Source organism: Homo sapiens, chromosome 1 (genome assembly GCF_000001405.40).
Source record: "Homo sapiens chromosome 1, GRCh38.p14 Primary Assembly".
In the NCBI taxonomy this organism is placed as follows: Eukaryota; Metazoa; Chordata; class Mammalia; order Primates; family Hominidae; genus Homo; species Homo sapiens.
In genome coordinates, this window is record NC_000001.11 from 171,077,151 (window position 1) to 171,090,279 (window position 13,129).

The 13,129-nt window shown below is 37.4% G+C and overlaps 1 pseudogene; it reads left to right on the top strand.

Annotated features, from left to right (window-relative positions):
* On the top strand, window positions 6,415-8,252 carry LOC646804 (alkylated DNA repair protein alkB homolog 8-like; annotated as a pseudogene).

Here is a 13,129-nt window from a genome sequence, read left to right on the forward strand (position 1 = left end):
TGAATCATGAGGGCAGGACTTTCCCATGCTGTCCTCATTATAGTGAATAAATCTCATGAGATCTGATGGTTCTATAAGGGGGAGTTTCCCTGCACAAGCTCTCTTTTTGCCTAGTGTCATGATTAGGCTTCCTCAGCCACGTATAAGTCCATTAAATGTCTTTCTTTTGTAAATTGCCCAGTTTCAGGTATGTCTTTATCAGCAACATGAAAACAGACTAATACACTTGTATTTATTAATTTTGCTTTATAAAATTTTAGTATAAAATTATATGCCATCAAGCTTTATTAAAATATGTAGGTTTCTTCTTTCCTAAGAGGCTATCGGAAGTTCTTATAAAAGTTACAAGTGAAATTAAAAAACTAAAGCTTATCTTAAGGAGTTGAGCAATGTGGGATGGCAGGGGGTCGGGGGAGGGGCATGAGTTATGCATCATATGCACTTGAAACAGATGTCTACTGGGTGGCTGCCCCAGAAGAATCATTTTTAGTTCCAAGGTCCAAGCCTGTTAGACTACGTATCAATTGTGCAAAGCTTGGATGAAGATTCAAGGCCTTCCTGGCACATTCTTCAAGGCCCTTTCTTTTTCACCTCTTTATCTAGTTCCTAACTTTTCTTAAACATATAAAAATATTTCAATATATTCAATAGTTCCTTGTACTCAATTTTTCTCAGTAGTGATCACATGTGAATCACATTTTATCTGCAGTATAGACAGCAGCTTAAGGATGTAGACATGAAATAATTTAACTGAACCATTTCATTAGAAATTTTTTTAACTCAGAAGTTCAGCTGCAAACGTGGAGGAGTTTTTAGATTACATATGTGGGGTTTTATCAATATCTTATATGTATTTTTAATGCAAAAATCTTCACAACCAAAAAGAGACATTGGTTTTTAAACAGTAATCATACGTTACTGCAGATCTATGTATCACTAACCTATGAAAAATCTGGCACGCTTTCTGAGGTCAATGTCAATACCAAAAAAGAGCCCGCATCGCCAAGTCAATCCTAAGCCAAAAGAACAAAGCTGGAGGCATCATGCTACCTGACTTCAAACTATACTACAAGGCTACAGTAACCAAAACAGCATGGTACTGGTACCAAAACAGACATATAGATCAATGGAACAGAACAGAGCCCCCAGAAATAACGCCACATATCTACAACTATCTGATCTTTGACAAACCTGAGAAAAACAAGCAATGGGGAAAGGATTCCCTATTTAATAAATGGTGCTGGGAAAACTGGCTAGCCATATGTAGAAAGCTGAAACTGGATCCCTTCCTTACACCTTTTACAAAAATTAATTCAAGATGGATTAAAGACTTAAACATTAGACCTAAAACCATACAAACCCTAGAAGAAAACCTAGGCATTACCATTCAGGACATAGGCACAGGCAAGGATTTCATGTCCAAAACACCAAAAGCAATGGCAACCAAAGCCAAAATTGACAAATGGGATCTAATTAAACTAAAGAGCTTCTGCACAGCAAAAGAAACTACCATCAGAGTGAACAGGCAACCCATAAAATGGGAGAAAATTTTCGCAACCTACTCATCTGACAAAGGGCTAATATCTAGAATCTACAATGAACTCAAACAAATTTACAAGAAAAAAACAAACAACCCCATCAAAAAGTGGGTGAAGGACATGAGCAGACAGTTCTCAAAAGAAGACATTTATGCAGCCAAAAAACACATGAAAAAATGCTCACCATCACTGGCCATCAGAGAAATGCAAATCAAAACCACAATGAGATATCATCTCATACCAGTTAGAATGGCAGTCATTAAAAAGTCAGGAAACAACAGGTGCTGGAGAGGATGTGGAGAAATAGGAACACTTTTACACTGTTGGTGGGACTGTAAACTAGTTCAACCATTGTGGAAGTCAGTGTGGCGATTCCTCAGGGATCTAGAACTAGAAATACCATTTGACCCAGCCATCCCATTACTGGGTATATACCCAAAGGACTATAAATCATGCTGCTATAAAGACACATGCACACGTATGTTTATTGCAGCACTATTCGCAATAGCAAAGACTTGGAACCAACCCAAATGTCCAACAATGATAGACTGGATTAAGAAAATGTGGCACATATACACCATGGAATACTATGCAGCCATAAAAAATGATGAGTTCATGTCCTTTGTAGGGACATGGATGAAATTGAAAATCATCATTCTCAGTAAACTATCGCAAGAACAAAAAACCAAACACCGCATATTCTCACTCATAGGTGGGAATTGAACAATGAGAACACATGGACACAGGAAGGGGAACATCACACTCTGGGGACTGTTGTGGGGTGGGGGGAGGGGGGAGGGATAGCATTGGGAGATATACCTAATGCTAGATGACGAGTTAGTGGGTGCAGCGCACCAGCATGGCATATGTATACATATGTAACTAACCTGCACATTGTGCACATGTACCCTAAAACTTAAAGTATAATAATAAAAAAAAATCCCTTAGATGTTCACATTTTTTATTGATTCTTTTTCATCCTGAAAGTTCTTTCTATTCATTTCTCTTCAACTTGTACATATTCAGTGTTTATTTTCAAGGCTACAGCCCTGTCAAAGAGTATTAAAAACCCAGAAAAAATATCTCAAATGGCTCTTCCACACCTGTCACAGAGCAATCCCAGGACCCCACATGCAGATTCCTCAGGCTAATACCACCACACTGTCCCTAGTGCCTTTCCATTTTAAATACCTTACGTGTGATATCTTATTTTATTCTTACAACAATAGCCTGAGGCACATTGAAATTGATGAGGAACCTGAAGTCTAGGGATTCCAAGTGACTTGTTCATGATTAGCAAAATAGTTAGTGGGGAGAGTTAAGTCTTTCAACTCTAACTTCTAGTATTCAGTCAACTATATTAATATGTCTCTAATTTGAAATTTATTATAACTATTCTTTTTCATTGGGGTGATATCTTTAACTGGCACATTGTTAAATAATAAAGAGTAGCACAGTTCTAGACTCTAAACTCCCAATGGAATATCTGGATCAGGTCTACCATTTATTCTTATAAGTTAGAAAGTCAACAATTATGGTTGGAGAGAAGTTTTATTTCGATATCCCAGAAATGAGTTAGGACCAGAGATGTGAGAACCAGAGAAGGCCAGAAAATGGAAATACTAACCAAGCATTATGTATACTTATCTGATTTTTTTTTTTAACTTTTCAGCTATCTGTAGTGGTAGTCTGACTAAAACAAAAAGACATTTCAAAAATTAAAATTCTTAGACATAAGTCTACTTATTCTTTACAATCCAGTTTCATAAACGAATTCTTATCAGAGTCATGGTCTCCCTCTATTTCTGAAATAAGGTATTTGATTCAGCTCCCTTATATACTTTTATGGCACTCAATTGCTGGGGGATATTGAGAGGTATCTGCCAGTCTACACACCCTAGGTCTAATCTCTGTAGCTCACTTATAGCTTCAAATATGTATCACTTAAAAATATTTTCATTATATAAATTCTTTTCAAATACACATTCAAAATATATATATATATATTCAAAGCATTATATAAACAAAGTTTGAGTAATGAAGATGGGATGTCACAGAAGCCAAAACCCAACTGTGGGGAGAGACTAAACATCCCTGGCATTAGTGCTACTCTGTATCTCATATATTAACTCTGCTCACCACAAACTCCCATCTCTTCTCTTCATCAATCTTTTAGTATTTCTACCCTAAATCAATTGAAATTTTTATTGAGCACTTTTTTTGTGATTGGCACTAGGAATGCTCCATGCTTGGCATTAGGAATAGTACCATGAATGTAAGATGTATTCGCTTTCTTCAAAGAGTTTAAAAGGCAATTGAAAAAACAAGACATGCATAGAAAATTAAGTAATAACACAAGAGATCATAATAATGCAATGCAAAACAACAAGCAAGGTAGTATATAAAAAGTGGCCATAAGTTAGGGAGAGAGAGAAAAAAAACTGGCATTTCTGAGAACCTATTTTATGACAAGTTCTGTACAAAGTGGCTTTATAGATTATTGCATTTCTAGATGGAAACAAGCTTCGTTAATCAGCATTATATAAATGATGTTGTTTCCCTGAGTTTTATCTATTTGAGATTTCTGGATCCTGAGTGTAATAGAAAGGATTCATTTAATGTAGGAATTTACTACTATAACACAATCCTATTAATATCTTCATTTTATGAAACAGAAAATTGAAGCTCAGAAAGATTAAATAATTTACCTAAGGTCAAACATCCAGTAGGTGGCAGAAGCAACTTTTAAATTCTAAACTCCATGCAAGTCACACAGGTTTTTAAGAGTATCTCAAACACACACTCTGGAATAAAAACCAGATGGCCTTCACTATAGCTAAGTTAATCATAAATATAAGTAGCATTGCTGTAAAAAACATGAAGCAGGATGCTGATATAAATGTCCAGTTACTCCTTGTTGAGGAATTGACCAGTGTAGTCTGAACTCCTAGCCCATGTGATCAAGGGTACCAAATCTAGTATAATTTGGTCTAGTTTGCACACTGGGCTCTCTTCATTTGTAAACTCAGCAATTCTCATGGTGAGGGAAGTTGTTTGCTTTCTTTGAGTGGTGGTAGATGGGGAGAGTGTTTCAGGGGAAGTGACTCCTTTCTAGGCTTCACCCTTCATTTTTGACCCAGTAGGCTCAGGATGAGGCCTGGTAATCTGTTTCATTTTGATTTGTAATCCATTCACGTCAGCTTGCCGTTCGCTATTTAAGAACCATTGCTCTCAAGCATGTTTCAGGGCAATACAGATTTGGTTTAGCTTCAGTTTAAGTGACGAACAAAGTCCACTTTAAGTAATTCATCTTTTATTTTCTAGAGCTGCTGTGCTTACCTCTGCTAAAAGCTGCGAGACATACTGCTTTAACCTACAAAAGCTTCTCCGAAACAGAAGTGTATATTTTTGTGCCAATATTTTTCTTACCAGCTGTGCTTTCTTCCAGGGAGATCGTGCTTTGCCACTAAATGAGCCTGTGTGCAAAAATACTCTCTGCCAAGTAGAACCTTGCTGTTTCATATTCATCAGCTAATTTATTCCTGTGACCACCTTTTGCAGTATGCCTATTTTACAGATTTTTTTAAAAAGCAAATTTAAGAAAGGAAATAACTTTCTCAAGTTTATGCAGCTGATACACACTGGAGGTTGAGTTTCAAATTAGGTCTGCCTGATGCTAAATTATTTTCCTTTGACTTTTCTCTGTCTTCATTTTCTCTCCTGCCTTATCCGTTGCCCACGTGTTAAGTCCCATCGTGTTACCCACAAGCATACCTTAGTCTTATTCCTGGCTCTTAGTATTGAGGAAGTTGTCAACTTTGGCATTAGGTAGGTTTTAAACTGGATGTTCTGTTCATGTATGAATTTTATGAATAATTCATTGGTTTGGTGCCCACTAAAAGGACCAACAAGATTATTTTCTGGTAATTGCAAGTTTCATTGTGAAGGTTACACATAAATTTTTTCTACTCCTTATTCATTCATCCAATAGTTTAATGCCTGTGTTTTATTGTCAAGGTCGATTTATTTGCCAGGAATATGAGGTCTCTGCTTGAAAAGAAAATAGTTTTGTTATCTTTTTTTTTCCAGATCTGGTCATAATCCCTAGCAAAGATATACTGGTTAATGTTACCAATAGGGTAAAGGTCAATGAAAAGCAGTAAAACAGTATTTGTCAATGTTTTATGAATTTAAGTGGACTTAACTGTAGAGAAACTATTAAAAATCATAGTCTTCTCCTCTGTACTAGGCTTCCTATTCTAAAATAGGGCTCATTTTTAAAACTTCTGACCATTCAGTAAATAATTTTGTGATCAACTATGTATGCATAGGGCATCGTGCTGAGGAAAATCCAAGTTAGACTACAAGACATGACTCCTACACTCTGTAAGAACTATCATCCATTTTCAGAAAGAAAAATTTATGTAATGATAATGATAACCAAGGAATTATAACTAGCGGATAAAGTGAAAGTTCAGATGTCAAAGTAAACAGAGACTTCTTTGAGTTGATGTAATTCCTGAGAAAAAAATCATTTTACTATATAATAGAGATTATATAACAACTTTAATTTTCATCACAAGAGAAAATACTAAGTTATGTGCTTGAACAAGTTTTTTGCTGCTGTTCTCTGGCGAAAAGATCAAAGAACATTTGAATCTCTTCCAGCACCTCAGAGGTCAAGCCAACAAAACTAGCTTACAAATATACTAGGTCTCCTATAAACAAATATATGCTGCTTTTCTCCAACATGGCCGAGCCCAGGAGAGGTGGTGTGCAAGTATCCATGACGGCTGTCTGGCACTAGAGTGGAGAGGGTAGCGAAGAACAAAGCACTTGCAGGGTGAGAATCTGAATCCGGCCTGAGCTGAAGAGGAGAGGCTTGTTGTTGCCAGTGTTGGTTTAGGTAATGGTGTGAGTAGAAACCAACTGCTACTGGTTTTAGAGAAATGTGGACTGGTGGATGCTCTCTTAATGCCACCTTACAAGCCCTACTCATTTGAAAGATACAAAACTACAGAAGAATCTAAGAGAGCCTATGTTACTCTCAATGGGAAAGAAATAGTGGATGATTTAGGACAAAAGATGATTCTGTATTTGAATTTTGTGGAAAAAGCACAATGGAAGGAGTTGGGGCCTCAAGCCTTACCACTAGTCCTCATAGTAGTAGAAGAAATAATTTCTACTGAGGATGAGAAAATTCTTTTGGAAAGTGTTGATCAAACAAAAGATACAGACCATCAAAATTTTCAAAAATGCTTAAAACACAGAAGAGTAAAGCATTTTGGTTATGAGTTCCACTGTGAGAAAAACAATGTAGATAAAGATAAGCATTTGCCTAGGGGTCTTCTTGATGTTTGTGATAGCTTTTTGGAGAAATGGTTGAGGGAGGGTTACATTAAACATAAACCTGAACAATTGACCATAAATCAATATGAACCTGGGCATGACTGTCATGGATTTTAAGTACCCAGATGGTATCACAGTGCCAGTTATTTTGCCTTGTTTGAGTTGGCTGGTGATGACAGGAGAATCTAGATACCTTTGGGCCCATGGGTTACCCTTTGGCTTGTGATAGCCAGAGGAAAGAGACTCCTCCCTCCTTTCCAGAGAGTGATAAAGAAGCCTGACAACTAGAGCAAGAGTACATCCATCAAGTTTATTAATAGATTGCTGGGCACTTCAGCAGCATGAGATATACAGCTTGGCCACACATCATTGAGTTTTTGAAGGCTTTGCCAAGTGGCTTAATAGTGGCTGATACTGGATGTGGTAATGGAAAGCACCTTGGCATCAATAAGGAGTTAGATGTGATTGGTTGTGATCAGAGTCAAAACCTTGTGGACATTTGTAGAGTGAGACAATTCCAGGCTTTTGTTTGTGATGCATTGGCAGTACCAGTCCACAGTGGGTTTGGTATGCCTGACTCTCCATTGCTGTTATTCCCCATTTTGCAACAGCAGAACATAGAATGACAGCTCTTCAAGAACATGTTGGACTCCTGAAACCTGGTGGGAAGGCACTCATTTATGTCTGGGCAATGCAACAAGAATATATTATAATAAACAGAAGTCCAAGTAGCTTACAGGAAACAGAACTAGCCAAGGAAAGAGAGAGGAGATAAGCAGTGACACCTCAGTGCAGGGGATGGTTGTGAAGCAAATGCCTGATGTGGGCAGTCAAGACTCAGCATCTTCTGTCTCCTCCATTAATGACTCTTAGGAGGGAGGATATAATTCAAGGCAAGTTACTAATTCCAAGCTTCCTATTCATATTAACAGGACTTCTTTTTGTTCTCGGGATGTACTGGTCCCCTGGTACCTTAGGGGAAACCCTGATAAAGACAAACCTGTTGAGCAATTTGGTCCCATATGATCCTATGACCCAAGTTCCATGTTTCATCATTACTTATGTGTTCTTTGAGGGAGAATAGGAAGTTGCCTGCAGGACTGTGAGTGATTTCAGCATTCTGCAAAGCTACTACGATCAAGGAAATGTGTGTGTGATTCTTCAAAAGGTCTGATTATTTACCTGAACATATCATGTATAAAAAAGAAATGCTCATTTTGTTTCAAAAAAAGGAGAATAATTATCATTTTAATTAAAGAGAAAACTAAGAAACTACCAAAAGAGGGCTCTTGAGAAAAATTTGGAAGTAGAGATTCATTAGGAGACATTCAGTCAGCTACTGTTGGCTGACCTCATAGATGTAGTCTCCTACAACTTCCCTACAAGAGATGGCTTCTAAAAGCAATTAAAGTAATTTGTGCAGTGCTTGTAATTCTTGGGTAAGAGCCCACCATTTTGAAGATAACCTTTTGTTATAAAGTGTTACTGAATGTACTAAATCATGTAGGATCTTAGTGAAGTAATTCTACCACATTTTAATAAAGGAAATATTTCTGGTTAATAAAAAAACAAATATATGCTAATCTTCAAATTAACTTGACTAATCTATTTATAAAAGCTATACTATTCATCACTATAACATTTTTTATTGTAATATGTAACATTTTCATAAACTTTAATGCAGACATGAATATCATGCTAACATCAGTCAATAGGGTGCCTGTTTTGCAGCTTCTCTTGCCTTCCTGTGTGTTCCTCGGTGGCCTATCAGTCTCAGGTGCAGTATGTGGACTCTAAGAATGAAATGATCAGATTCTCTGGCATGAAACTCAAACTACTGTCCTTATTTCTCATTTTTTAATTGTAGTGTCTAAGTGGCTTCTGTGTTACTTATGGTCCAATAAATGATGTGTAACCTCCTCTTGATGGTATTCTGGAGTCGGGAGAGGTAGTGAAATGGAAGAATAACTCAGGTGTATCACCTGTTAAACCCAGGAGGTGGAGGTTGCAGTGAGCAGAGATAGTACCACTGCATTCCAGCCTGGGCAACAAGAGCGAAACTCCATCTCATAAATAAATAAATAAATAACTTGCTGAGGGGGTCCTAAATTTTAAATATATACCACTGTTGTCAGACACTTAGGAGTGGAACTGGAAAACTGGCAACGAAGGAGATCACTGGAATAAGTTACAGAGAACATCTGTCACTAATACTTAGAACATTATCTGGAATATAATAGACACTCATTTACTAGATTAAAAAATGAAAAGTGTATATGAATGCAGCTTAATGTGCCAATGAAAGGCATCATGTGCATTCTCCTTAGTTATAAGTTCCAACCAGCTGCCCTTCATTTTACATATTTTCTATTTTGGCTATTTAATATGCCACGCAACTCAGCATGCTGGACAGTGCACGTGTGTCTGACTTGTAACTAGTCAGCTACAACTACAAGTTGAATTAGTTAATTAACCTCTTTCACATTTTTAGGTCTAAAAACAAAATAGGTGTGTTGATCTATAAGTGGGTCTTGATGGCAGAAATACTTCCCCATAGTGGCATCTGGAAATATATAGGGGTAGTCTTTTCTTTTTCTATGCCTAGTAGTTTTCACTGGCATTTATTGACTTAGATACTAGGTAAGCTAAATACCCTGCAATCTTAAGGATGATCTCACACAATGAAAAATTGCCCTGCCCAGGCTGACTTGCCATAGTGCTCAAGCCTGTAATATTAGCACTTTGGGAGGCTACAGCTGGAGGATCACTGAGCCCAGGAGTTTGAGACCACCCTGGGCAACATAGCAAGGCCCCCATCTCTACTCTACAAAAAAAGAAAAGAAAATTTGCCAGGCATGGTGGCACTCACCTGCAGTGCCAGCTACTTGGGAGGCAGAAGCAGGAGGATCTCTTGAGCCCAGGAGTTCAAGGGTGCAGTCAGCCATGATCGCACCACGGCACTCCAGCCTGGGTGACAGAACAAGACTCCAACTCAAAAAATAAAGAAAGAAAAGAGGCCGGGCGCGGTGGCTCACGCCTGTAATCCCAGCACTTTGGGAGGCCGAGGCGGGCGGATCAAGAGGTCAGGAGATCGAGACCATCCCGGCTAAAACGGTGAAACCCCGTCTCTACTAAAAATACAAAAAAATTAGCCGGGCGTAGTGGCGGGCGCCTGTAGTCCCAGCTACTTGGGAGGCTGAGGCAGGAGAATGGCGTGAACCCGGGAGGCGGAGCTTGCAGTGAGCCAAGATCCCGCCACTGCACTCCAGCCTGGGCGACAGAGTGAGACTCCGTCTCAAAAAAAAAAAAAAAAAAAGAAAGAAAAGAAAAATTGCCTAGCCCAAAATGTTATAGTGAGATCGTTCATAAATTTAATCCTTAAAGTTCTTTCAAGTTCTAAAATTACATGATTCTAAGTGGAAAGTACATTTTGAAAATTATTGTTTTACAATGCAGACATGAGTATCAGGCTAACATCAGCCAATAGGGTTTCTGTTTTCTTCCTCTTTTGCGTTCTTGCGTGTTCCTGGCTGGCCCATTACTTTCAGGTGCAATATGTGGGCTCTATGAATGAAATGGTCAGATTCTCTGGTGTGAAACTCAAACTACTGTCCCCATTCCTCATGCATCCAAAACTAGCCTGGAAAGTCTTTTTGGCCATTATACACCAACCCAGTTCCAGGTGATAGAATATGAGAAATGGAATGGAGCCTAAAAGGCTATCTTGTCCCCTCACCTCTACTGCCCCAAAATTACCAAAGCAACCAACACAAGGGTTCTTTCTCTAATGAGCGATGAAAGTGATCTTTCTTATTCCATAAGGCTCCTGCTCTGGAAGGCTCTGGTAATGGCGACCATTTTCCTGGTAACTTAGGGTTATTTGTAACTCCAGCAGCTGCCACAGAAGGCTCAGATGGGAACTCAAAGTTGTAAGATAAGCTCTTCATTTATTTTCCTTAATCAGGGCTGTCTTGGTTTTCCTGCCCCTGGGGCAATAGTGGCAATGTGAGGAACAGAGACCTTGCCCCTTTGTAAAGGAACAAGTGGAGTAACCACTCTGGACCTATCATTGGACCTGACTTTAACTCAGTGTTTCTCAACAGTGCAACCAAATGTCAAAAATCACAGACAAACATTGTTTGCACTTGCTTGTTAGTTCCAGGATTAAATAGACAGTCTTTTATTACCTAAGTTCTAAAATGTTTTGGTTTTATTTTTTCCCTATCATAATTTTTTAAATTTAGTTTTCCTATTTTATTTATTCTAAGCTCTTTCATCTACTCACATATGATGACCCCCAAAGGTAAAGCATACTAACCGCTTCTTATATATACATTCATATTTTTCTCCCTGATCAAAATCCATTACAGATCATATGAGTATGTCTATGTGTGTCTGTGTTCACATTTATACAGATTTTTAAAAATCAGCATTCATTTTTGAAATAAGGATCATATTATAAGCACTTTTTTGCATGTTGCTTTTTTCCTTTCTAGTACTTTAATGGGGTATTTCTCCAAGCTATCTGTTAGCTCTAATTTACAGAATAATTTATTCACTTCTCTAACAAAAAGCATTCATTCTATCTCATTTTTGATACTTTGAACAACACTGAAATAAACTTTTTTATACAATTTGTTAAAGCATGCTTATATTTGTATTTTTATAAGATATATTCCCAAAAGTAAAATCACCTGATCAAACAGCATATATCTTTTTTCTAAAGAAAAACTGAAGACACTTTATTTTTATCATTATTGAAGTTAACAATTGACAAGCCCATTAGAGAAAACATTTTACATAATTTTACATCACTGACTTAGAGCCCACACATACATGACAAAGATAGCTAAAAACATATGAAAAAATATATCTTTGGAAATAAACACAGCATTCCTCTGGCTATGAAACTAAAAAAGTTTGAGACACTTTTTAAACTTGTAGCAGAAGATGCAACAGACTGTCAGCTTCATTTAGCACTGCCTGCACTAATTGTTGTTCACTCGATTCTTTACGAGATATTAGCTTCAGAATATGGACCCTAAAGAATCCACATCTTTGGAATGTTCCATCATAGCTTTGATGATCAAGTCTGAGTCTCCAAAAGCCACTCTCATTTTATAGAAATCTTTCAACTGTTATGCATCATCAGACATGACAACAGGTGTCACAAGAGATATATGCCTTGCCTCCAGCAAATCAATTAGAAGAAAACAAAAATTTCTTTAAAATACAAAGAAAATATAGAGCAAGAGAACAGAATATAAGTCTTCCACTCATATCCTCCAACAGCAACAATAATCTAGCAACCATCCAGGGATGAAAGTTTCTTCTTAGCAGTTTTGTGATTTGGAGGGGACAACAGAGTAGAGAATGCCCACTGCCCCAACCAGAGCCTGGGCATTTGAGATTCTGAAGATTTAAAAAGGGGCTCTGCAGAAAGCTGTGGCAAGCAAAGGATAGGCTAGAGAGAGACAGGACTAATAAATGTGTCGACTTCAGATACATTCTTGTGAAGGACAGCAAAGAATAGGTGGCCTTTTCACCTCCTAGAGAGATAAAACATCGGAGGCCAAGGTAGAATTGGGTGTGTCCTGCCAATCTTTAAATGAATAAGGCTATAGGAGTAGTATTGCTTCCTGAAGTAGTCACAATCTTTTCTTTGCATTATTTTAATTCTATTTATGTAGCATTAAAAACTGAAAAGAAGTTCTATGTAAAATGAGAGCAGAGAAAATCATGTTGTCTGAATTGCAGCCCTAGAAAATTTCATGAACCTATGACTTGTTTTTAATTTTTATCTACAAGTCACATTTGCTCATTTTTAACTACATGCCACATTTTATATGTACCTATGTATACATGTATTTATGTGTACATACCCTTTAATCCTCTAATCCTTGTTAAAAAAAAAATAGCCAGACAGGAATTAATAGTGTAGTTATCCCTATTTTATTAATGAGTAAATCAACGATTGGAAAGGTTAAGTGATTTGCCCAAGGCCACAGAGCTATAGAAGTGATTTGGAATCTCTCATACTCACACTTCAGAGATGAAGATTACTGTCTTCAAAAGGCATGAAGGGTAATTCCTCAAAATTAGACATATACCAGTTTACACTAAGTATCACTTGCTTAATGAAGGAGTTAACTAGACAAAATGAGTGAGATGTTATAATTCTAAGTGACATCAAAATATAGTTGATAGGAAAACTTTTTTTGAAATTCTACTATATTTCATGA